This window comes from Homo sapiens, chromosome 1 (genome assembly GCF_000001405.40).
Source record: "Homo sapiens chromosome 1, GRCh38.p14 Primary Assembly".
Taxonomy (NCBI): Eukaryota; Metazoa; Chordata; class Mammalia; order Primates; family Hominidae; genus Homo; species Homo sapiens.
In genome coordinates, this window is record NC_000001.11 from 229,071,918 (window position 1) to 229,097,677 (window position 25,760).

Below are 25,760 nucleotides of genomic sequence, written 5' to 3' on the forward strand. Positions count from 1 at the left end.
AACACAGTGGCCCAGGCTGGGTGGGAGGCTGAGAACCAGGCGTTGGCAGGGCTGGTTTCCTCTGAGGCCTCTCTGTGGCTTGGAGATGGCCATCTCCCCACGTGGGCTGTCTCCCTCACATGGTCTTCCGTGTGTGTGTGTGTGTGTGTGTGTGTGTGTGTGTGTCCTCATCTCTTCTTATAAGGACAACAGTCGGATTGGATTAGGCCCCCACTAAAGACCTCATTTTATCTTAATCAGCTCTTTAAAGGCCTTGTCTCCAAACAGTCACGATCTGAGGTGCTGGGGGTTAGGACTTCACCATGTGAATTTGAGGGGACCCAATTCAGCCCCTAATACCTGATGAGCTTCTCTCTTTGCTGGCATTTCCACCCCCATCTCTCCCTCACTCTGACCTCTCCAGGACTACAGCAGGGATGGGCAGCGCTGTACCAGGCAGGGAGGGATTGTGTTTGTCAGCCTGAGATCCAGCTTTGGAATGCTGGCCATGGCCTATGGGAAAACTGTCTTCCTCTCAGGAACGTCTTCTTGGGTCCCTGGGGAGCCCTCTCCTGATTTCTGGGAACCTCTCACCCCCTGCTCTCTTGATGAGGGTGACACACCATCCATGCAGTCACCATCAACTCCCGTTCAGCCCTAGATTCTCAGAGGCTCACCTCCACACAGGGCAGCCGGGGGACATTCTCTGAGGAGTGTAAAGGGCAAGGACATGGAGGAGAGCCTGGGCCTGCTCTGTCACGTCCTTTCTGCTGGAAACAAAGGTGCATCCCTTCCCAGGGTGGACAACTTCCCACCAGCACCCTTGGTCTCACTCCCTCTCCTTCACCCCCGAGATTCCATAGGCCAGGGCAGACCAGTCCACTGTGTCCCCATCAGTGCCCCCACTGTGTCTGCCCAAGGCCCATCTCCCTAAGCTGGAGGAGAGAAGATGTTCTCCACCCTCCCCACAAGGAGAAGGACTCACTGCACACACTCCAGAGAATTCTTGTCGGGGCGCGGTGGCTCACGCCTGTAATCCTGGCACTTTGGGAGGTCAAGGCAGGTGGATCACCTGAGGTCAGGAGTCCGAGACCAGCCTGGCCAATGTGGTGAAACCCTGTCTCTACTAAAACTACAAAAATTAGCCAGGTATGGTGACACACACCTGTAATCCCAGCTACTCGGGAGGCTGAGGCAGGAGAATCATTCGAACCCAGGATGCAGAGGCTGCAGTAAGCCAAGATTGCACCATTGCACTCCAGCCTAGGTGACAGAGTGAGACTCCAAAAAAAAAAAAAAAAAATTCTCCAACTGCCCGAGGATCTCCAGCCTCTTTTCTAGGATGGCACCACACTGGGTCCAGAGACCTCTGGAGCTGGCTCCCGTCTTTGGAACATGGGGGTGCTGGCTACTTACTGACTTGTGCCTCATGTGAGACTGAGGCAGAATCGCACAAGTGGACATAGAGTGTGGAAGAATAGCCGATGGAGGCTTAGGAGGGAAGGAGGGGAGGAGGGTGAGGGGTAAGGGGTTACTCAATGGATACAGTGCACATCTGAGTGACAGTTACACTAAAGCCCAGACTTCACCACTGCACAACATATTCATGTGACAAAACTGCACTGCAGCCCTTAAATTTACACAAATAAAACATATAAAAATAAAAGTAAGTAAATAAATGCACATTATCAGGGTGGAAGCGGGGTGGGCAGGGAAGCTTGGCTCGGCAGTCACTCTCTGTGGGAAGCGTAATGGGTGGCTGATAGGACAGAGGCAGCTTTTTCCTTCCTAAACATGGGGCTCTGGGGCCAGGCAAGCCAGCACCGTGGGCTCAGGGCTCTGTGGGCTGAAGACCTTCACTCCCATAGGCATGGTGAACCGAACCATGCTTTTCTATGGCATTTGCTCAATCCTATTCAAGGACAGACCAGTTAAGGCAGCAAAACATCATCACATTATGGACTGGGCATGGTGGCTCATGCCTGTAATCCCAGCCCTTTGGGAGGCCGAAGCGGGTGGATTACTTGAGGCCAGGAGTTCAAGACTAGCCTGGCCAACATGGTGAAACCCCATCCCTACTAAAAATACAAAAATTAGCTGGGCATGGTGGCACACGCCTGTAATCCCAGCGACTCGGGAGGCTGAGGCAGGAGAATCGCTTGAACCCAGGATAAAGAGGTTGCAGTGAACCAAGATCGTGCCTCTGCACTCCAGCCTGGGCGACAGAGCGAGACTCCATCTCAAAAAAAATAAAATAAAATAATCACATTATGTTTTAATATGATTAATAATAATCACATAAAATGTTTATAAATACATAAAGTTCAAAGGAAAAACACAAGCCTACAGGCAGGAGAGAGCACGTGTGAAGGAGTAAGGAAGAGGAGTGGGCACCCCAGCCCACAGGAGGGCAGAGGGAGCTCAGAGGCGGCCGGGGAGGCCACACTCAGGAGGCTGTGTTTTATCCGCGGGTGTCCTTCTTCCAAGGGTTGTGAATCTGTTCTGAAATTGCCTTAAACATACTAAATCTAACGCTCCCTATCTAAATCACGGTGTTAAACCTTCCTCAGCTTACGGCATCATTCCTGATGTTTCAAGCTAACAATCCCTTTTAGGCTTGTCTGTTCTTTTACGGAGGACATGCTGTATGTCTTTTCTAATCCCAGAATACTAGGATCCTTTTTCCTTGATTAGAGTCCCTGGCTTTCCTTTTCCTCTCTCTCTGTGGATGGATGCACCAAGCAGCAGAAGTCCCAGAGCCTCCACGTTGCTCACAACTCCCTGGATGCCTCTCACCAGATGGGCTTTCTCCAGTTGGTCTCACTTACCCTGACTGTACTCTGGTGTGGAAGGCAAAGGAGTGAAGAGTGAAGAGAAGGCCAATCTCAGAACCCTGGCCACGCCTTTAGTTACGGCTTTTCCTTTGGGGGGCTGGACTTGAATAAGCTTAAGTTACCATTTCCTCAGTTGGTGGCCCAACACCATCATCTACCCAGATGAGGCTGGCTTTCTCGTGCAGACATTCATTCTCCTCTGTCCCCTTTATCCCTGCCCCCAGTCCCACCCTCTCATCATCACACTCTCTTACTATGGATCAGCACCCTCCCGCCCTCCCGCCATGCCTGTCTGTGTGTAAGTGTGCATGCACGTGTGGCTACCAAATGTGTAGTATTGCTTGGTATATATTTGGTTTACATAAATAATTTACTGTCTGCCTCATTATTTAACTTTCTTCGTTCAGCATTAGGTTTTTGAGTTCTGTCAACGTTGAAAAACTGAAATTTAGTTCCTTCCTTTTGTCTCCCCCAAGGTCATTTAGATCCAAGAAGTCCCTTGTCCTCACTCTGAGGGGCTGGTGCTTGGGGAGGACAGCATCTAGGCAGAGTCATGAGAGAAGGGAGGTCCCTGCTGGGAGAGAGGACAACACGAATGAGGGACTGGGTGTGTCACCAACAAGGTACACTCAGAAGAGAAATACTCAAATTACAGCAGGGAAGATTGAGATCATCTGTAAAAGAGAACTTCCTGGCATCCAGGCTTACTGAATTCTGGACTTGCTGGGAGCTGTAACGGGCCTCTGTCTCACTGCCTTTAAACAAAGAGCAGCCTTTTTTGCAAGCAGACTAACCAAATGGCTTTCCCATCCCATTGTTTTCTGATTATTGAATGTTCCATGGACAGCAAGAGAAAAATTCCAGCAGGTCTAGAACAAAGGGATGGGAATGGTGGAGTACACCCAGGTTTCCCTGGTGTTTCTGAGATCCCAGGAAGTCTCCCCTGGGAGCATCAGCCAGGGTGCCCTTCTGAGCTCACCAGGTGTTCACCACACTATTTAAGACAGTAGTCTTAAGAGACACTGTCTCTGACACACTGTCTGTACTTTCAGGATACAACGTATGTTCACTGAATAAACCTTGGATATACTCTACCTCCCATTCCATTTCTAAAGCCTAGCAGTATTAGCCAATATTCGCATTACCCTTGGTCTACTTATTTATTCATTCATTCAGCAAAGATTTACTGGGTTTGTGCCAAGCCAGGAACTGTGCCATAAGCTCAATGGATAGATAGAAGCTGTCCCTACTCTCCGATGATTTACATACAATAAATAAGTCAGGCAATTACCTGTGCCAATGAAATATGGTAAGCTAAGTCAAGGGAGAGAGGAAATTCTGTGGTGTGTAGAGGGCTGATGTTTTGGAGGGGGTCAAGGATGGCGTCTGATTCTGGCAGGGTGACATCCAAACTGAAATGAGAAACAATAATCAGGTTAAACAAAAGGAGACAGAAGAGCAAGGATCCCAGGCAGCAGGAACAACTGATAGGAAGGCTTGGAATCAAGGGAGGTGGCGAGGATGTGAACAAAGAAGAGAACGGCTCCCAGCACCTAGGGATGCTGCTGCAGAGTGATGACAGAAGAGACCAGGGCCAGATCCTAAGCTGCCTCAAGCATTGAATTCTATCCAAGGGCAATGAGAAGCTGTTGAAATGTTTTCTGCAAGAAAATGACATCATGATCAGATATGTGTGTTTGCTGCTGTGGGGAGAAGATATCGGAGAAGGGCAAAGACAGGAGAGCAGTTAGGGATCTGTTTCAATAAACTAGACCTGGGTCTAGTATGTACCAGGCCCTGTACAGGTACCAGAAATAAAACAGTGAGCAAAAAGGGAAAGACTCCTGTTTTCGTGGAGCTTACAATTCAAAGGGGGATCCAAAAATCAATTGACCACAACGGTGAATGTGTAGTTATAAACAAAGGTCAATTTTCCAATGGAAAAGAACAGGATTCTTTGACAACATTTAGCAAAGGAACCTGCAGTGAGAAGTAATGGTGGTATGGACTGAGGTCTTTCTGGAAGGGAGAAAGAAGTGAAGAATGTCCTAGATACTTGGGTGTAGAAGGGGAAGGAGGGAGGAGTGAAGGGAGAGGACATTTTCTGGCTGAAGTAGCTGGGAGGATGGAGGTTTTATTCTGAGCAAGAGAGATCTCAGATCACAGGAGGCAGAGCTGACTCTAGTGATGGGCACATGGGGTGTAAGCACCCACAGCCATCCAGAAGGAGCTGTCCGGCTGGCAGGTCAGTATAGTTCCAAAGGTCGGCAGAAGGGGATGAGGTGTTGTCAGTTCACAGGTGGAAATAAAGCCTTGCGGCTTGATGAAGTTGCTCAGCAAAGAGGAGGAAAGAGCAGAGGAGAGACAAGAAGAGTTCCTACCGCTGAGCCCTGGGAACACAGCACTTAGGGGATAAATGGAGTACAAAGGAGGGCCTCTCAACAGGAGCCTGAGGAAAAGCAGGGAGAGCAGGGGAAGAAAACCCTGACAACTGGTTGTCAAAAAAGGGTGGGGGTGGGAGTGTTTCAAGAAGTGAGAGGAATACTGATTCAAACGTTGCCAAAAGAAAAGTCAGACTAGGACCATGAAGTAAGCCAGGTAAGCCGGGAAGGACAGAGGCCTTGTTTGAGCACCACTGAAACTCAGGGCCTCCAACAGGTCTGGCACATCCCAGGCAATTAATCCAAGTTAGTCGCTGCCCAAATTTCTGAAAGAAAAATGCAGACCTGTGTGAGAGCAATTCCAACAGAGCGGTGGGGTGACTATCAAAGAGCAATGAGTTAAGAGGTAAGAAAGCAGAGATGCCTGGTGTGGACCCCGCTTTCAAGCAGTTTCCTGTGAATCTGGAAAGAGACAACAGTAGGGAGGACTGATTTAAAGACCACCCAGAACCACGATGTGGAAGCACGTTCTGGGGATGAGGCCTGGAAGACAGCATAGTTGAGGCCTATCTTTGAATCCAGCTGCCACTCACTTATTGGATAACCTAGGTTAAAACCTCTCTAAGTTTCTGTCTCCTCATATACGAAATGAAGATAATGCTAGAACATTTCTTATAGGTTGGAAGAACTGAATGTGTAAATAAGTAGAAAACACTTAGCTATTGATATTATTACTTTTTTTAACATTGTTCTGGTTATATGGTGATCAAATAGTTGTGAATGTGTTCTGAAGACTCTAAAATACTGTCCAAATGTAATAATCCACATAGAAACTGAGTTGTATGACCTCAAACATTCATAGAACATTTGCACATTGACAAAAAGGTGTGTGTGTGGTAGGGGGTCAGTAACTGCTATTTGGTACCTACTTAATCACTCTGCTGTACTTTCACTGTTCTTTTTTTTTCTCTCTCTCTCTCTTTATTTTTATTTTTTGTAGAGATGGGGGTCTCACTCTGTTGTTCAGGCTGGTATCAAACTCCTGGCCTCAAGCAATCCTCCCACCTCAGCCTCCCAAAGTGCTGGGATTATGAGTGTGAGCCACTGTGCCTGGGCACTTTCACTCTTCATGGGACCAGTGGTGGCAGATCCAGGGATGTTGAACAAAACATAAAACAAAACAATAGAGGTTTCCCTCATGGCTGGAAGAACCTGAAATTGTCAGAACCATGCAGTTCCGACTCTGTTCTTCAATTATAAGGAGTTGAATGATCAATGGCAGGGACCTTAACTTCCCAACTTTTCCTCCAAGCAAGCAGTAAGTATTCAAAAAATAGGGGAGTAAGATAATCATCCTTTCTTACATTTATTAACAGACTTTTACTGAGCATCAAGAAGGTGCCAAATATCATACTCAGAACTCTTTTAACATAGTGATTTTAAAAGATTATAAAATGTATGAGCCCAAAATACCAATCAACACCAAAGACTTAGCTGGACAATCAAAGCTGGACAATCAAAGTACTCCAGAGCTGCTGGTGGATTCAAAGTACAAGAGCAAATGTCAAATAACAGCCTGCATGTCTGGAGGCACGTATTCCAACCCTATTAATGGGCTCATACATCCCTTCATATGAGTGTTCATTCAATATATATTCACTAACCACCTATCCTGTGGAAGGTGCTAAGTGCTGGGTGTCCAAGAACAAAAAGGAATTAGGTCCTGCCCTCAATAGACCTATATCCTAACAAAGAAGTTTGCAATTATTAATCATTCTTCTCAGTATTAGGTGGGTGGGTCCTAGACAAGTCAAACTCTGAGATATCTACTTCTTTAAAATGAAGAGTTTACTAGAAGAATATCTCCAAGGCCAATTCTAGTTCAAATCCATATGCATGTGCATTTTCTTTGTAACAGAAAAAATTAGTAAGTCTGTATTTTGAGCTCATTATCAGTTATTGTTAAAAGGGTCTTAAGCCCTACGGATGTAAGGTTTTGGCAGCAAACACTGAGGCTGATCACCAAGGCCCAGCATGTTGGGCTGAACAGTTTGCCTTCTTGTGTTCATCCAGTTGTGGCAGAGATTTGTCAGTGGTATTTGTTCTCAGTATTGCACAGTGAGGCAAGAGGCACGGTTTCAAGATCCCTGAAAAACAATTTCAACCTCTATAAAGCTCTACTGATGGCCAATGGCTGATCCCAGAGCTGAATTAGTGGAGCTTGTATTTATTTTTCTCCTATCCTCTACAGCACTCAAAAACAGGAAACTGTGCCATCATTACAGAAAGGGACAATTCAGTATAGAATAGTAATTGATAACATCTCACTTCTGTGGGCCCCAGGAATCCCCAAGAGGCTTGTTTTTAGTTTACTTTAGAATTACCTATGAAAGGAAAGTTTTGCTAAACAAGTAGTAAGGCAAAAATGCTACAAGGTTAAGGTTTACTTAATTAAGAGGCAGTATTTTATAGGTTTATAGGTTCTTTTAAAAAAAATCCATTTTTAGAGACAATGTCTTGCTCTGTAGCCCAGGCTGGAGTGCAGTGGCATGATCATGGCTCACTGCAGCCTTCAGTTCCTGAGCTCAAGTGATTCTCCTGCCTCAGCCTCCCAAAGTGCTGGGATTACAGGCATGAGCCACCAAGCCCAGTCAGCTTTTTGATCGGTGTAGTTAATGATTTTGGAGTCCAGTGGTTGCCATTGAAATGTACTTCTCTGATCAGGCGAAGTTCAGGTGGAGAAATCCTTTCATGAGCAGTTTGTATTGTCAGGATGAGTTACAAGCTCCTGGCTGTCAGCATGTTTGTTCCTCAGGCTCAACTCCATGTGTAACGTTTCAATACCTGCATCATTTCTGTCTTCCCATCTGCCTTGCGATTCTGATTTAGTCATCTGTTCAGTTACCTCTTGATTCCCAGTACCACCTGCTTTTCTTACATTTTTTTAAACCAAGAGACTCTAATTTTGAAAGCAACTTCAGATTGACAGAAAAACTCAACAGAAAATACAAAGTCCTGTGTACTTTCTTCCTCCCCACCTTCCCCTATTATTCATATTTTGCATTAGTGTGGTGCATTTGTTACAATTGGTGAGCCAATGTCTATACAATTTAAGGGCTCACTCTTTGCATGGTACACTGTACAAATTGTGACAAATGCGTAATGACATGTATCTGCTATTAAAGTGTCATGCCGAGTAGTTTCATACCCTAAGAATCCTCCATTCTCTGCCTGTTCATTGCTCCATCCCCTGCCTAAGCCTCTGGCAACCACTGATCTTTGTACTGTCTCCATGGTTGTGCCTTTTCCAGAATGTCGTACAGTTGGAATCATACAGGACGTAGCCTTTTCAGATTGGCTTCTTTCACTGGTACTATGCCTTTGAGGTTCTTCCAAGTCTTTTCATGGCTTAATAGTTCATTTCTGTTTATCATAAATAGTATTTCATTGTGTGAATGTACCACAGTTTGTTTATCCTACAGGACATCTTGGTTGCTCCCAGGTTTGGCAATTGTGAAGAAAACCACCATAAACATTCCTGTGCAGTTTTCTGTGAGGACATAAGTTTTCAATTCATTTGGGTTTATTCCTAGGAGTGCAATTGCTGGATCATATGGTAACTGCTTACTTTTATAAGAAACTGCCAAACTATCCTCTAAAGTGGCTGTTTCATTTTGTGTTCCCACCAGCAATGAATGAACGTTCCTGTTGCTCCACATTCTCATCAGCATTTGGTGTTGTCAGTGTTTTGGATTTGGGCCATTCCAACAGGTGTGTGGTACTCTCTTGTTGTTTTACTTGCAACTCCCTAATGACAGACGATGTGGAGCATCTTTTCATATGTTTATTTGCCATCCATACACCTTCTTTGGTGAGGTGTCTGTTTGAGTCTTTTGCCCATTCTTAAGTTGTTCACTTTTTTATTGTTGAGTTTTAGGAGTTCTGTGTCTATTTTGGATACCAGACCATTATCAGCTTTGTGTTTTGCAAATATTTTTCCCCATCTTGTGAATTGTGTCTTATTTTTTTCACAGTGTCTCTCACAGAGCTGAAATGTTTAATTTTAGTAAAATCCAACCTACCAATGTTCTGTGCTATGAATGGTACTTTTGCTGTTGTGTCTAAAAAGTGATTGCCAAACCCAAAGTCACCTACATTTTCTCCTGTGTCATCTTATAGGAGTTTTATGGTTTTCTGATTTACATTTAGGTCTATGATTCATTTTGAGTTAGTTTTTGTGAAAGGTGAAAGATGCGTGTCTAGATTCACTGATTTGCATGTGAATATCCAGTTGTTCCAGCACCATGTGTTGAAAAGACTATCCTTTCTCCGTTGAATTTCCTTTGCTCCTTTGTCAAAGGTCAGTTGATTATATTTGTGTGGGTCTATTTCTGGGCTCTTTTTTCTGTTCCATTGATCAGTTCATTTCTGTGCCAATGCCACACTGTCGTGATTATTGTGGCCTTATAGTCAGTCCTCCAACTTCAGGTCTTCTGCCTCTTCATATAAACTTTGGAATCAGTTTTTCAATATCCACAAAATAACTTTCTGTAATTTGGGTTGAGATTACATTGAATACATAGACCTAATTGGAAAGAACTGACATCTTGATAATATTGAGTCACCCCGTTAGGGGCTGACTTACGTCCCCCAACCTTCAAAATTCATATGTTGAAATCCTAGTAGCTCAGAATGTAACTATATTTGGAGATAGGACAGTTAAAGATAAGACCTTAAAGTTAAAATGGAACTATTTAAAGAGGTAGTTAAGGTGAAATGTACCCTAACCTAATCTGCTAGTGTTTTTATAAGAAGAGGAGATTAAGACACAAGGAAAGAGACAGCAGAGATGCACATGCACAGAGAAGAAAACCATGTGAGGACACAGGGAGGAGATAGCCATATGCAAGCCAAGGAAAGGGGCCTCAGGAGAAGCTAATCCTGCCAACACGTTTTTTTCCTTTCTTGAAAGAGGGTCTCACTTTTTTCCCCCAGTTGGAGTGCAGTGGTGTGATCATGGCTCACTGGAGCCTTGAACTCCCAGGCTCAATCTATCCTCCCACCTCAGCCTCCTAACGAGCTGGGACTACAGGAGCACATCACCACGCCCAGCTAATTTTTCCATTTGTTTTTGTAGAGACAGGTCTCACTTTGTTGCCCAGGCTGGCCTCAAACTCCCGTGATCCTCCCACCTTGGCCTCCCAAAGTGCTAGGATTACAGGCATAAGCCACAGTGCCTGGCTTATCATCACCTTGATCTTGGGCTTCTAGCCTCCAGAACTGTGAAAAGATAAATTTCTGTTATTTAAGCCACCCATTTTGTGGTATTTTGTTACAGCAGCCGTAGCAAACTAAAACACTCTCTATCCATGTATGTGAAATCTCTCTCCACTTATTTAGATTTTCTTAGGTTTATTTCATCAGTTTTCTTATTTTCCTCATACAGATCTTGTACATAGTTTGTTAGATGTATACCTACATATTTCTTTCTCTTCTAGTTCTTATGTAAGTTGCATTTTGTTTTTAGTTTTAAATTTCAAGTGTTCATTGCTGGTATATTAAAAAAAACTGACTTTTGTATACTAACCTTGCATCCTGCAACCTTGCTATAATTGCTATTAGCTCCAGGAGTTTGGGGTAATTATGTCATTTGTGAACAAAGAAAATTTTGTTTCTTCCTTACCAAACTACATACCTTTTATTTCCTTTTCTTGTCATATTGCATTAACTAGGACTTCTAGTACTACTTTAAATGGGAGTGATGAGAGGGGATGTCCTTGCTTGTTCCTGATCTTAGTGGGAAAGCATCTAGTTTCTCACCATTAAATTTGATGTTAGCTCTGTATTTTTTATAGATGTTCTCCATGAAGTCGAGGAAGTTCCCCTGTATTCCTAGTTTGCTGGGAGTTGTTTTTGTTTTGTTTTATCATGAATGGATATTGGATTTTGTCAAATATTGTTCTGCATCTGTTGATATTGTCATAAGATTTTTCTTCTTTAGCCTATTGATGTATTGTATTATGTTATGAGCTAAATGTGTGTGTCCCCTCAAAATTCATAGATTGAAGCCTTACACTGGTGTGACTGTATTTGGAGATAGGGCCTCTAAGAAAGTAATTACTGTTAAATAAAATCAGAAGGGTCTCTGATCTGATAGGACTAGTGTTCCCGTAAGAAAAGACGTCAGAGAGCATGCCCTCTCTTTCTCCATGCACACACACCGAGGAATGTGAGGACATAGCAAGAAAGTGGCCACCTACAAGCCAAGAAGAGAGCCCTGACCAAAAACCCAATCTGCCAGCACATGATCTTGGACTCCTCAGGCTTCAAAGCTGTGAGAAAATAAATCTCTGTTGTTTAGGCCACCCAGTTGTGGCATTTTAGCAGCTAGACCAGACAGATTACATTAATTGACTTTCAAGTATTGAACCAGCCTTGCATACCTGGAAATATATCCCACTTGGTTGTGGTGTATAATTATCTTCATACATTGTTGAATTCAATTTGCTGATCTTTTGTTGAAGATTTCTAATTTTTACCTTTTATTCTTTTGGTTTTCGTTTGTTTGCTTGCTTTGTTTTGTTTTTGAGACAGGGTCTCACTCTGTCACTCAGGCTGCAGTGCAGTGTTGTGAACATGGCTCACTGCAGCCTTGATTTCCTGGGCTCAAGTGATCCTACCACCTCAGCCTCCTGAGTAGCTGGGACTATGGGCATGCACCACCATGCCCAGCTATTTTTTTCTATTTTCCGTAGAGACGGGGTCTCACTGTGCTGCCCAGGCTGATGTCAAACTCCTTGACCTCAAGTTATCTTCCTGTCCCAACCTCCCAAAGTGCTGGGATTACCAGAGTGAGCCACCATGCTTAGCCTGTTGGGAATTTCTGCATCTGGGTTTGTGAGAGATATTGGTTGCTAACTTTCCTTTCTGGTAATGTCTGTGTCTAGTTTTGTATTAGGATAATCCTAGCTTCACAGAATAAGTTAGGAAGTATTCCTTTTGCTTCTGTTTTCTGGAAAAGAGTGTAGAGAATTGGCAGAGTTTCTTTGTTTAATGTTTGGTAGAATTCACCAATAATCCATCTGGGCTTGGTGCTTTCTGTTATTACTGATTCAATTCCTTTAATAGATATGGACCTATTCAGATTATATATTTATTTCTGTGTAGGTTTTGTGTGCATTTTAGTAGATTGTGCCTTTCAAGGGATTGGTTCATTTCATCTAGCTTATCAAATTTGTGGGCATAGGCTTTTTCATAATATTCCTTTATTATTCTTTAAAAGTCCACGAGATTAGTGGCAGTCCTCTTTTATTTCTGATATTAATAATTTGTATCTTCTCTCTTTTTTCTTAATTAACCTGACTAGATGTTTATCAGCTTTATTCATCTTTTCAATGGACCAGCTTTTGGTTTTATTGATTTTTTCTCTAGGATATCCTATTTTAAGTTGTTTCATTTCTACATTTATTTTGATTACTTGTTTTCTTCTGCTTACTTTGATTTTAATTTGCTCTTCTTTTTTCTCATTTCTGAAGGTGGAAGCTTAGATTATTAATTTTAGATCTTTCTTCTTTCCAAATATATGCAGTTAATGCTATAAATTTCCCTCTAAGCACTGCTTTCACTGCATTCTACAAATTTTGATAGGTTGTATTTTCATTTTCACTTAGTTCAAAATATCTTTAAATTTCTCCTGAGACTTTTTCTTTGACTTCTGTGCCATTTAGAAGTGGATCGTTTTATCCAAGTAATTGGGGGTTTCTCCCACTGTCTTTGTATTACTGATTTCTAGTTTAATTGTACTGTCATCTGAGAGCAAATTTTATACAGTTTCTATTCTTTTAAACTTGTTAAGGTGCGCTTCATAAACCAGAATGCAGTCTCTTGGTGAATTCTGTGTGAGTTTAAGAAGGATGTGTATTCTGCTATTAATGGATGAAGTATTCTATAAATGTCAATTAGATGCAGTTGATTGATGCTGTTGTTCAGTTCAACTATATCTTACTGATCTTCTGCCTACTGGATCTGTCAATTACTGATAGAGGGGAGTTGAAGCTTCCAAATATAAAAGTGAATTTATCTATTTCTCCTTGGATTTTTATCAGTTTTCTCTCACACATTTTGTCTCATGTCAGTTCTTTTAGGTGCATGCACATTAAGAATTGTTATGTCTTCTTGGAAAATTGACCCTATATCATTACATAATGTCTCTCTTTATTTTGATAATTTTCCTTTCTCTGGAGTCTACTTTGTCTGAAATTAATTCGTGGGCTAGAATTTGATATTTTCCTTCCTCCATGTTGGTTAGGCTCTGGCTAAATAGTTTCTCCTGAGGGGAAGCCTTGTTAAAAAGAACAGAATGTTCTGGTGTATTTTTAAATGGTTACTTTTCTTCTCCCTGGCCAGAAGTACAAGGAGTTTTTCTTCAGTCTTTACAGAAGTTGGTATATATCCAGTGCCTACAACCCCTTTGCATAGCAATTGGGGATTATCTATTAATACAGAAGAAGTGCAACCTCAGGGCCCATGATTCTGCTTGTCACATATGTGCACAGGAACCTTAGAGAACACTCATCACAGCACTGTGTGTAAAGAGTTTACAAATGAATGAACGACTTGTGGATAACTAACATTACCAGGGGTTTCCAGCAGCAGCAACGTGTGTTGAGCTGGAGCTACTTGTACTAACATGGGTAAATCTCAAAAACAAAATAAGTTTAAAAACCAAATTGCATATACTATACACAAAAATTAACTCAAAATGAATTAAAGACCTGAAAGTATAATATGAAAGTCATAGAAGAAAACATATGGGAAAAACTTCATGATATTGAATTTGGCAAGAATTTCTTGGAGGTAGCCCCAAAAGCAGAGGCAACAAAAGCAAAAATAGACTAATGGGATGACATCAAGCTTAAAAACTCTGCAGCAAAGGAAACAATTAACAGAGTGAAAAGACAACCTATGGAATGGGAGAAAATATTTTTAAATGATACATCTGATAAAAAGTTAATAGTCAGAATATATAAAGAATTCCTACAACTCAATAACAACAACAACAAACCCAAATAACCCTATTTAAAAATGGGCAAAGGACTTAAATAGATATTTCTCCAAAGAAAATATACAAATGGCCAACAAACACATGAAAAGATGCCCAACATCACTAATCACTAAGGAATTCAGTCAAAACCACAATGAAATATCACTTCATACCCATTGGGATGGCTAGTATAAAAACAAAAAACAGAAAATAAATTTTGGCAAGGATGTGGAAAAATTAGAACCCTTGTTCAGTGTTGATTGGAATGCAAAATGTTGTAGTCACTGTGAAAAACAGTATGGAGATTCTTCAAAAAAATAAAAATAAAACTACCATATGATCCAGCAATCCTACTTCTGGGTATGTATCCAAAAGAATTGAAAACAGGATATTTAAGAGATATTTGTACACCCATGTTTACAGCAGAATTATTCACAAAAGCCTAGAGGTGAAAGCAACGTAAATATCCATCAATGGGTGAATGGATAAAGAAGTGTGCTCTGTAAAGACAATGGAATATTATTCATCCTTAAAAAGGAAGGAAATTCAGTTGCATGTTACTCAGTGGATGAACCTTGAGGATATTATGCTATGTGAAATAAGCCAATCACAAAATACAAAAAGTGTATGATGCCACTTGTAAAAGGTGTCTAGAGTAATCAAACTCACAGGAACACAATGGTGGCTGCCAGAAGCCAGGGAAGTAGGGGTGAGGAGTTGCTTTTCAGTCGGTGCAGAGTTTCAGTCATGCAGGAGGGGAAAGGGGGCTTAGGAATCTGTTGCACAACACTTTAAGTGTGGTTAACAATATTGTACTCTACAAGTAGAAATTGTTGGGAGGGTGAATTTTAGGTTATGTGGTTTTTTGCCCTAATTTTCTAAAATAAAAAGCAAGTTGCAGAATCATATGTACAGTAAAAAGTCAAAGGATTTTAAAACACAAAACAATGTCACATAGAGTTTATTTATAGATGCATACATATATAGTAGAAATATTAAAGCAAGCATGAGAAAAATAAATAGAAATCGATGTTGGCAATGACCTCTGGGAAGAGAGTTGTATGGTATGGGTCAGGATTCTAGAGGAATAGTCATGTTTTATTTTTATTTCTTAAGATCTGGAGTGAAGTGGGTAAATTTTTAAAAGATTTGTTTTCAAGATTTTTTTATTTTTCCATTTGTTTGAAAAACCTGATCATTTTAAATAAAATCCTGGAGGCTCCCTCCTGCTCCCGACCCCTGACCATCCCGGTCACCTCCCTGCAGCCAGGACCAGCAGGGCAGGCAGTGCTGGAACCTTCTGCTGCTGTCAGAGTAGCCTCCACATGCTGGCATGTGCTTGTGATTATTGGAACTCATTCCTGGCTTTATTTATGCCACAGACAAAAATAATTCTCCCTTCCTGGGAGACATGTCATGGCTCCAGAATGTCTTGGGAGGAGAGAGCCAGAGGGTGGGACTCTTGGGGCCACACGCGTGCCTCTGCTCATCCAGACTATACCCAGGGCCAAGGGGGTGATAGACAGATGCCAGGCTCCTATTCCTTGAGAGCGAGGTCTGAGCTGGGATAATCCTTAGAGTCCAAATCAACCCGAAATATACATCAACCCTGTCCATCTCTGTTTCCCCCAAGGACCCCAGGTTAGTTGAGGTAACTCCAGGGCAAGCCCAAATCATACCAGGGTATAATTTAGGGGAGTGCAGGCTTCAGGCCAGACCAATCCCTGATGTTCCCTTTTTCCTCAGCATTCCCTGCAACAGAGCCTCACCTACCTTCGGGGCACTGCTGTGACATTTGGGGTTTCAAGAAAGGCTCAGAGTCAGCCTCACTTCAGGGAGAACCCAGGCCTGGCCTGAACCCCACGCTTCCCCTGACTCCAGGACCTAGCCTGACCCACCTTCGAGATTTCATCTCGGGCCAGCCCCTCCCACGCCGGGGTCCGGAGTCAGTGTGGGCTGTAACCCCCGGGGTCAGGAGTCAATGTGGGCTGTACCCCCTGGGGTCAGGAGTCAGCGTGGGCTGTACCCCCTGGGGTCAGGAGTCAGCGTGGGCTGTACCCCCTGGGGTCAGGAGTCAGTGTGGGCTGTATCCCGGTGGCATCCACCTGACTACTGTGCAGGCGGCTGGCGGCAGGTCCCGGACACATTGGGACGTGGTGTAGTTTTCATGCTGTGGAAGGCACCCTCCTTTCCCTGGCAGAACCAAAGGCCTGGCTAAGCACCTGTGGGGCTGGTCTGCACTGCTGTACTCCTCCCCACTCCCCTTCCCTCTGATACTGTGGGAGGGTCACCCCAATTCTCTTGGTCTTTCCTGGTGAACTTTCTGTTGGGCCTTAGGCACCTGCAGGTTGGAATGATAGGCTCTGGTCCACTTTCCAGCCCCAGGTGAAAAAGCTCAGGTCAACCTTTTCCCCTTCATTTTTCTTTCTCCCAGGGCTCTGCATGGACCCCTTTACACACAGCTCTGCCGCACAGGCTGCTGCCAGGTATAGAATCACTGCCGGCTCAGATACCAGGATGTGAAAAAAATCAGGACGAGCCTTAGAAAAGTAAGAGGATGGTGATTAAACACATAAATAAATAAAGCAATTAGGAGGAGGATGCATAACCAAAAAGCAAGGTAAGGAGAAAGAGGAGGGGACTTCAGGCAAGGCCTCTCCAGTTACTGTCATTAGAGCAGAAATCTGAGAGAGGTGAGGGGCCAGCCAGCGGGAAGGGCACCCCAGGTGGGGAACGACAGGTGTGAGGTTCTGAGGACAGGGGTGGGGCTGGGCTGGGCAAGGCCAAGGAGGGAGAGAGAGGCCAGAGCTTTGAGCACAAAAGGAATGAGATCCTTGTCACTCACAGGGCCAATGTTGGAAGCAGGACCCCAAGTAGGAAGCCACTTCGAAAGTCCAGGGGCGGTGACCAGGTTTGGGCAGTTTTCTTTACTGTGATGGAAGAGAACTGAGGGAAAGGTGGACGGGGACAGGGACTGCTGGGGACACTTAAATAATTTACTTTGATATTATTTATGCAAACTTTTAAAACAAACAGTATAATATATTTCTTATATATGATCATTCCCATAAACAATATATTTAAAATATGAAAAGCACAGAATAGAGCGAACATATCAGTGGTTGCCGTTGAGGAGGGGGAGAGAGGAGGGGAATAGCATTGAGGAATGGTTAAAGGGGGACATAAACTTTATGTGTCATGGTTTTATGCCACAGAGATATGAAGCAAAAATCACAAGTTATTATATTAGTGTCTGTTTTTCCGGGTGGTGACTGCTGCAGTATTGGCTACCATATTCTCTGTACTGTCTTTGTCTGGATTTTTTTTTCCCAATGGAGAATTGGGAGAGCAATGCCTTGCACTGCTGGGTGGATTCGATCCCCAGGCACTTCCTGACTCTCTTCATGCTTCTCAAAATCTCCCTGCCATGCAGGCAGGGCCAGCTCTGCCTCACCCTTTGGGTTTTGTGAGTGACTTGGCCAAGTCTACGGCTGGTAAATCTGGGCTGAGACTGGAACCAGGTTTCCCGGCTCCACAGTTCAGAGCTCTGTCCTGTGTCCTGGAGTCTCTAAGGTCCAGGAGACACCTCGACCTCCTGGAGGAAGATGCTGCCACCTAAAACAGGTTTCCAGGGCAACCAGCTTCCCCAGCTGCTTGGAAAGAGGAGGGATATCCAGGGCTCCCTGGTGGGCTTGTCATGCCCAGCAAGTCAGAGCCCAGTGGAGCCAATGAGTACTGAATGACTTCATTCACTCATGTAACAAGTATCTAGTGACCTTGAGTATGATCCAGGCCCCCTGTGAAACAGACAAACCAGAGATAAATGTTAGATGCCCTTGCATTTCCCCTGGGGGGTAGACAGAGATGTGAACAGAAGCCCTGGGCTTTCCTGGGGAGGAGTCCTCACCCCCATCAGAGCACAATCCCCACCAGGGTGTGTCCACAAGCTGAACCACAGAAGCTCTGGACCACTCGAGCCTGATTACCATCTGGGGGCAGAAGGAGGGGGACAGAGTGCTCCAGAGGCATCATTCTGTTCCTGCACCCTCCACCCTCCTTCCTCCTTGGTGTCTGGGCAGAACTTCCTTCCATTGCCCATCTCAGTTGTATTCCCTTTATTCACTCTCCTCCTCACTTTTTTGAAATTAATTTTTTTTTAATTAGAGATGGATGTCACTATGTTGCCCAGGCTGGTCTTGAACTCCTGCCCTCCAGTGATCCTCCCACATCAGCCTCCCAAAGTACTGAGATTACAGGCATAAGCCACCACGCCTGGCCTCTCCTCCCCACTCATAATGTTTGTTTTTAAAGTTTGCATAAATAACATCCAAAATAAGTTATTTGTGCTCCCCCAACAGCCCCTGCCCCAATCTAGCCTTTCCCTCAGTTCTCCATCTCAGCAAAGATATCTGGGTCCTGCCGGTTACTGGGCAGCCGCCCTTGGTTCCTTTCTTTTCCTCATGCCCACAGCTCTCCTTCCAAAACTGCTGTGAGCTTGCCTTAGATTGAAGGCTTACCCAGCACTTAGCAAAAGGTTACCCAAGACTTACCAAAATGACCTCTTTTACATACTAATTCCTCCCCCTGCACTCCTTATCCTGCTGTTTTTATCTAAAACACATATCACCTGGCCAAGCACAGGGGCTCACACCTGTAATCCCAGCACTCTGTGAAGCCAAGGTGGAAGGATCACTTGAGCCCAAGAGTTCGAGGCCCCATGGGCAACATGGCAAAAGCCCATCTCTACAAAAAATCCAAAAATTAGCCCAGCATGCTGGTGTGCACCTGTAGTCCCAGCTGCTTGGGAGGCTGAGGTGGGAGAATTGCTTGAGCCCAGGAGGCCAAAGCTCCAGTGAGCTGTGATTGCATCACTGCACTCCAGCCTGGCTGAAAGAGCAGCACCCTGTCTCAAAAAAAAAAAAAAAAAAAAAAAAAAAAAAAAAAGAGTATCACCTCCTATCATAATATTGACTTACGGGCCAGGCATGGTGGCTCACACCGGTAATCCCAGCACTTTGGGAGGCCGAGGTGGGCGGATTGCCTGAGGTCAGGAGTTTGAGACCAGCCTGGCTAACATAGTGAAACCCCGTTTCAACTAAAAATACAAAAATTAGCTGCGCATGGTGGCACATGCCTGTAGTCCCTGCTACTCAGAAGTCAGGAGAATTGCTTGAACCCAGGAGGCGGAGGTTGCAGTGAGCCAAGATCGTGACACTGTACTCCAGCCTGGGTGACAGAGCAAGACTCCATCTCACAAAAAAAAAAAAAATTGACTTACTTATTATGTTAGATGTTTGTCTGCCCCATCCCCACCACTCCCATAAAGGCAGAGGGTTTTATCTATTTCATACCTGCTGCATCCCCAGCGCCGAGAATAATGCTTGGCCCAGACCAGTCATTCAATAACTGTATCTTGAGTAAACAGAGAGAATTTATCAGAAGCTACTAGAATTAGCTAGGCATGGTATTGGGCTCAGCTACTCAAGAACCTGAGGTGGGAGGATTGCTTGAGCCCAGGAGGTTGAGGCTGCAGTGAACTATGATCACACCACTGCACTCCAGCCTGGATGACAGCATGAGACTCTGTCAATAAATAAAGAAATAAATAAAAGCAACCAGAATCCGAGCGTGTGGACTTAGAGGCCTGGGCAGTGTGTAGGTGGTGGTACCTGGACACAGGTGTACGCAGGGGTGTAAGAATGAAGGCCACCCGAGAGCCTCATGCCTCCCTCCAGGGGATATACCCAGTATATGAGCAAGACAAAGCTGCCAAGCAGGGACCTCCTTGCAGGGGCCACCCCTCAGAGTAAAGAGGCTCTACTGGAGGTAACAGTGCCCAGGGGAGCTAGCTGAGGGAGAGCCAGCCTTTTTGGCAAGCCACCACAACTAAAAACAAGGCTGCCCTGCCAAGCCACACAAGTCTGAAACTCACCGTGCTGTTTCCACGATGCTGTTTCCATAGCTCTTTAGGACCTGTTCGTCCAAAGGCTGGTGGTGGTGAGAAATAAAATGGAAATTGTCGCAAATGAAGCTTTTAGAGTGGGTTTTCTCTCTCTTGCTAAAGCCTCTCACTGCAGCTTGAATTCAGGATATGCACAAAGAGATACTGGAGGACAGTCTTTGGGGGTGGGTAGGGGAAGGGGTCACTCAAGTAATCAGCTTTTAAAATGCAATTTAATACAAATATTGATTGAATACCTGCTGTGTACAAGGCTCTCTTTGGGGATGTGGGCTCTGAACCAGAGTAAGATGTGGGCAAGAGACCCTCTGAGGCTAGAGCTGCCTCTGAGAGCCCTCCAAGGGGAGCCAGGAGAGGCCTCAGTTCATTTAACATGCAAATGTGAGCAGCATCCTCTCCAGGCAAAGCTTCATTGCTCCTGTTTCGTTATAGCTTCTTCCTTCCCAGGGAATGAAGCTTCCCAAGAGAAAACCCACATTTTCAAGCTGCACTGTTGATTGGTCACGATCTCCCCACCCCCACGTGCCCCTTCTTAGCTAGACTCCATTGTAATAGCTGGTGACTTCTCCCCGGTTCACAGGATTTCATGTGGTTCACCTACAAGCCTCATTTCATTTTATAGTCACTATTTTCTCAGCCTTCCCTAACAGCAGATGTGGCTGAAGTAGCTATTTCTCAGATTGGGTTACCCAGAAAGTATCTTTGATATACAAAAGGCTATTTATTCTCTTCCACCATGCATATCCCAGGCTCACGCTAAGCCTTTATATTTTATTCATTAAGTCAGTCCTCAAAATCCTGATGACAGCTCAGGCAGTAGATCAGAGAAGGAAACAATTTTTCCATTTTCCACCTGGGAGGTGGAGTTCCACGTGCCATCACCAAGTAAGGGTGGGGTTGCCTCTGTGAGCAGCCTCTCCACAGGCTGCTTTGCTGTCTTCATAGTTTGGGGGTGGCAGGAAATAAAGATGGCTGAGCACCTGCAGCTGCTTCTTCCGGAGCAATCATGAGGTAGTTTCTGGTGTCCTGTCCCAGCTCATACATGCTGCGTTGCTTGTGGGTGGTGATGGCTGAGGTGTGGCCTTGTCCCTGGCTGGGTGGTCCCAACTTCTCTATTGCTGGCTGGGTGGCATCCAAGTCTACTCTCTGGCCCTCCTGGAGATTCTTCAAATTCCCTAGAATAATGCAAGAAATTCACCCCTCGCTTAAACTAGACAGACAGGGCTGTTAGGATAGGAGGGGAGATTCCACCAGTCCCAATTAGTCCAATGGTAAATTGTTCCTCCAAACAATGGACAATTAAAAAGAATGCTTGAGAGAAGGACAGTGCCTGTGACCAGCTTGGGATCTGGGGTTTTAGCCTGGGTGTCACGTGAAAATTTTTGACAGTTTTGTCTATAAAGCCTCATTTACTAATAATAGACTTTTAGAACCCATTACATGCGAAAAAAACAAAAGAATCCAGATGGAAGAATGTGAAGTCAGCTATGGAGTAATTCACTTCTTAGCTGGACCCTTGTCTTTTAAAGGGCTTCTATCACCTACAAATTGTAAACCAAAAGTAAAATTCCAAGCCTCCCAACTGACTGAATAGGCTCTCCTCTTGGCCACGGAGACCCAAAGAAACCAGAAAAACCAGTTTAGGCCATGACGGGAAGCAGGGAGGGTCAGACATACCTCATCACACCCTCCTCCCTTTGGAGTTCAGGCACAGCTGACCAGCATTAACATTAAATTAGGGATCCTGAGACGGACAGAACAGACTCCTAATAGCAATAAGAGACCAAGCTTCAACCTGACCCCAGCATAGCATCACATGACAGATAGCAGGCCCTGAAAGAAATCCAAGTATTTTACTCCAAAATAGATTCAGCTGTCTCGTGTGGGGGAAATTTGCATTCTGTAGAGAATCTCCTTCCCTGACTAGGTCTCTCCAGAGTCTGACACCTTTGATAAGAGACAAATTCACATCCATTCTTTCTGCAGCCTGGAGGCTTCATCTACATGATAAGAACCTTAGCTTCCACAATCCTCTCCCCCAACCCACCTTTACCTTACCACAAGCTGCTTTCAACTCTTCAGGCAGAGCTTAGCCCTTTCAACCAATTGCCAATCAGGAAATCTTTAAATCCACCTGTGACGCAGATGCCTCCACTTCAAGATGTCCCACCTTTCCAGGCCAAACCAATGTATACCTTATACATATTGATTTTTGTCTTTGCCTGTTCTGTCTCCCTAAAATTTATAAAATCAAACTGTAACCCAACCACCTTGGGCACAGGTTCTCAAGATCTTCTGAGGTTATGTCATGGGCCATGATCTTTAACCTCGGCAAAATAAATCTCTAAATTGATTGAGATCTGTCTCAGATACTTTTTGATTAACAAAGCAAAGCTAATGGAAATAACTAGATTTCAAGGATGTGGAATAGCCTGACTCCCAGTCCAGCATTACTTGCCCTCGCTGCTGTCCAAGCAGGAGACCAGGCAGTGCGCTGCTCAGACCAGCCGTCACCTGAACACAGACCCACAGGCCTGCCCACCCTGCCGGGCCTTGCTGCAGCTCTTCCCCAGGACCGCATGGACGCCCTTGCGTCTTTGCAACACTGTGTCCATGAAGACAAGAACAGCTTCCAGAGGCTTTGCCTGCGTGAGGGTTGATAGTCACCTGTGGAGGTGTGTGTCCCACGTAGTGTCACAGGGCAGGGGAGAGCCTGGGCCCTCTGTGAATAGCTGCATTTAAGAGCTGAGTGCAGCTGACGAGGTGCACTGGAGGCCTCTCCTTTAAGGAAATCCAGTACAAGAACAGAGAGGGCTGAAGTAGGAGTGGGTGTAAGAGAGATAGTAATCTACTTCATAAAACTGTCTGCCCGAAGCCACTTATCCACATTTTCAGGATGATTTAATTCATTAAAAATTTCACTTATCACAACCTTTCTGGGACATGTCTACTCAATGTGAGGCATGAATGTAAGCATATGTAAATAATTCCTAAATAGAAGCAATGAATCCATGGACATTGTGACCCTAAAGAGGAATCTCCAGGCTTGATTTTGCAGAGAATGTGGGGATTCTGGTGATGACTCATGAAAGAGTGGGACTTTGTAGGAAGACTGCTCCCTGGGGCACTGCAGGAAACCACCCAAGACGCAGCCCTATTAACTATCGTCAGTGGTGAACAGGCCTGTCTGAGTCCACTGAACTTCTTTCTAACACATTCTAAAATATTAGTTATCAAAGTACATATTCATTAGTAATTCTGGAAAATTCAGGAAAACCCAAAGAAGAATATTAAGTATTTCCATTATTCAGGAATACCCACTAGTAATGTATTTTTCCTTTTCTCTTTTTCTTTCTTTGTCTTTCTTTCTTTCTCTCTTTCTCTTTCTTTCTTCTTTCTTTTCTTTCTTTCTTTCTTTCCTTCTTTTTTTAGCATGCTCCTTTCAACTGATAATATATCATAATTCTTTTTGGATGTTATTCATTATTTTTCTATAATGACTTACTGAAATTTGGTTATTGGTTGGGTGCAATGGCTCACACCTGTAATCCCAATTCTTTGGGAGGCTGAGGCAGGTGGATTGCCTGAGCCCAGGGGTTCAAGACCAGCCTGGGCAATATGATGAAACCCCATCTCTACAAAAAATTAGCTTAGCTGGGCATGGTGGCATGTGCCTGTAGTCCCAGCTACCCTGGAGGCAAGGTGGGAGAATCACCTAAGTCCAGGAGATTGAGGCTGCAGTGAGCCATGATCATGCAACTGCACTCCAGTCTGGGTGACAGAGTGAGATCTTATCTCAAAAATAAAATGAAATAAATTTGGTTATTACAACAGCTTTAATATTGATAGCATCTTTGTTTCACCACTTAAGAGCCAGCTATTTGACTGAATTCGATTCTTAGGGCTGCTGTAACAAATTATTACAAACTGGGTAGCTTAAAACAACGGAAACTCATTCTTTCTCAGTTATAGAAACCATAAGTCCAAAATCCAGGTGTCAGCAGGGCCGTGTTCCCTCTGAAGGCTCCAGGAGAGAACCTTTTCCAGCCTCTCCCAGCTTCTGGTGGCTGTCCACATTCCTTGGCTTGTGGCCACATCACTCCAGTCTCTAACCCTGTCTTCACATGGCCTTCTCCTCTTGTCTCTTATAAGGAGACTTATCATTGGGTTAGGGCCCATTCTTGTTTTCCAGGATTATTTCATCCCAAGATCCTCAACTTAATTGTATCTACAAAGACTCTTTTCCCAACCAATGTAATATTCACAGATCTAAGGGGTTTGGACATATCTTTTGGGGCCACCATTTACTCCACTACGATGACTTTGGGCAAATATTTTAACCTAAATCTCAGGTTCCTCACCTGTAAAATGGGGAGATTGTAGTTGCTATCTCAAAGAGCTGTGAGGATTGAATGGGTTATTCTGTGTGAAGTACCTGGCACCTGCCTGGCACAGACTATCCACTCAATCATGGTAAACTATTTTAATAATTATTATTATTCACAAGTATCAGCTTTCTTTCCTCACAACAGTACTGTGAGTAGGGAGAGGCAGAGAGGCAGAGGTCTTGAGGGAAAAGAATCGCTGGGCACTGGACATGAAAAGGCATTGAAAGATGGCCTGAGCCTTGGTCTCCAAATGTACTCACCTACCTGACAACTAAGAAAGAGCCATGTGCTAAACGTTTCTAGAGGTTTTTCCACTCCATCCTGTAAGCCTAACTTGAAGAGCAAGAGTGGGAAGGAAGGGAAGGAAAGAAGAGAGATGGGGAGGGAAGGGGAGGGAAGAAAAGGGATGGGGAAGGAAGGGGACTGAAAGAGAAAGAAAAGAGAGAAAGGGGGCAGGGGGCACCAGGTTGTTCCTGAGCCTATTTATTCCCATTCATTTTCTGGATATTTTTGAAAACCCACCCTGGGAAGCAATAGCTAGTGCACTGCACAGCTCATGAGTCTTGATCAAAAAAGTGTAGCCTCCATTTGAGAAGAAGCCATGCTTGGGAAATGAGTCTCAGGGAGGGAGCCCAAAGGGAAGAGAATGCCCAACCCTACCAGAGAGGAGGGAGGAAGAAGAGCCAAAATCAGGAAGGGTCCTGAGCCTAGCTCCACCCCATCTGGCCAAGTGATCTGTAGGGGGCCTCTCAGCTTTGTGAATTTCTTCTTAAAAAGGATCCTTCACATTGATTGCCTTCAAAGGCCACTAAAATAGACTCACAAAAGATCTCACAAGGGACAAGATGAATAGGCCCTCTCTGGAAGAACCAGGCCACTCTGGGAAAGTTTGGGGTTCTGAGCCTTGCTCAGGGCTTCAGCGTCGTTTCTGTGAGTGTCTTCTTGGTGAAGCTCAAGCTGCCTTTCGCATTTGCCCTGCTCTGAATTCCACCCCCTGCCACCACATGCATGGAGGCAAAGGTAATGAAGGGAAATGTGATTTGTGTCTGGGATGGATCTCCTCCTGATTCATCCCAGTGTGGTTTTCTCACGGTGGACAGAGTTGGCTTGCCTGCACATCCCCTCTAACTCAGGAAGTCCTTGGCTAGTGCCAGGGCTCAGAGGAGTTTGGGGGAG

General features: G+C 44.4%; 1 long non-coding RNA gene across 6 annotated transcripts in view, besides 3 other annotated features; it reads right to left on the reverse strand.

The window, feature by feature from the left end:
* Positions 1-15,182: 15,182 nt before the first annotated feature.
* Positions 15,183-25,760, reverse strand: part of LINC02815 (long intergenic non-protein coding RNA 2815) — a 67,626-nt gene continuing 57,048 nt past the window's right edge. The window contains exons 1-5 of one of the 6 annotated variants that reach the window (NR_186729.1): positions 22,864-22,989; positions 21,177-21,371; positions 20,170-20,225; positions 19,589-19,649; positions 15,183-18,034 (exon numbers count right to left, since the gene is read on the reverse strand). This is a non-coding gene — a long non-coding RNA (long intergenic non-protein coding RNA 2815). Of the gene's footprint in view, positions 18,035-19,588; positions 21,372-21,873; positions 22,030-22,863; positions 22,990-25,760 lie in introns of those variants that run through there. The other 5 variants (NR_186728.1, NR_186730.1, NR_186725.1 and 2 more) reach the window with 5 other exon arrangements.
* Positions 16,139-16,857: an enhancer, noted in NCBI's record as "H3K27ac-H3K4me1 hESC enhancer chr1:229223803-229224521 (GRCh37/hg19 assembly coordinates)". NCBI's record gives its function as "activates a minimal SCP1, AML or CMV promoter by ChIP-STARR-seq in primed H9 embryonic stem cells {active_cell/tissue: H9 hESC(primed)}" and the evidence as "EXISTENCE:reporter gene assay evidence [ECO:0000049][PMID:30033119]".
* Positions 19,576-20,508: an enhancer, noted in NCBI's record as "H3K27ac-H3K4me1 hESC enhancer chr1:229227240-229228172 (GRCh37/hg19 assembly coordinates)". NCBI's record gives its function as "activates a minimal SCP1, AML or CMV promoter by ChIP-STARR-seq in primed H9 embryonic stem cells {active_cell/tissue: H9 hESC(primed)}" and the evidence as "EXISTENCE:reporter gene assay evidence [ECO:0000049][PMID:30033119]".
* Positions 20,509-21,440: an enhancer, noted in NCBI's record as "H3K27ac-H3K4me1 hESC enhancer chr1:229228173-229229104 (GRCh37/hg19 assembly coordinates)". NCBI's record gives its function as "activates a minimal SCP1, AML or CMV promoter by ChIP-STARR-seq in naive H9 embryonic stem cells {active_cell/tissue: H9 hESC(naive)}" and the evidence as "EXISTENCE:reporter gene assay evidence [ECO:0000049][PMID:30033119]".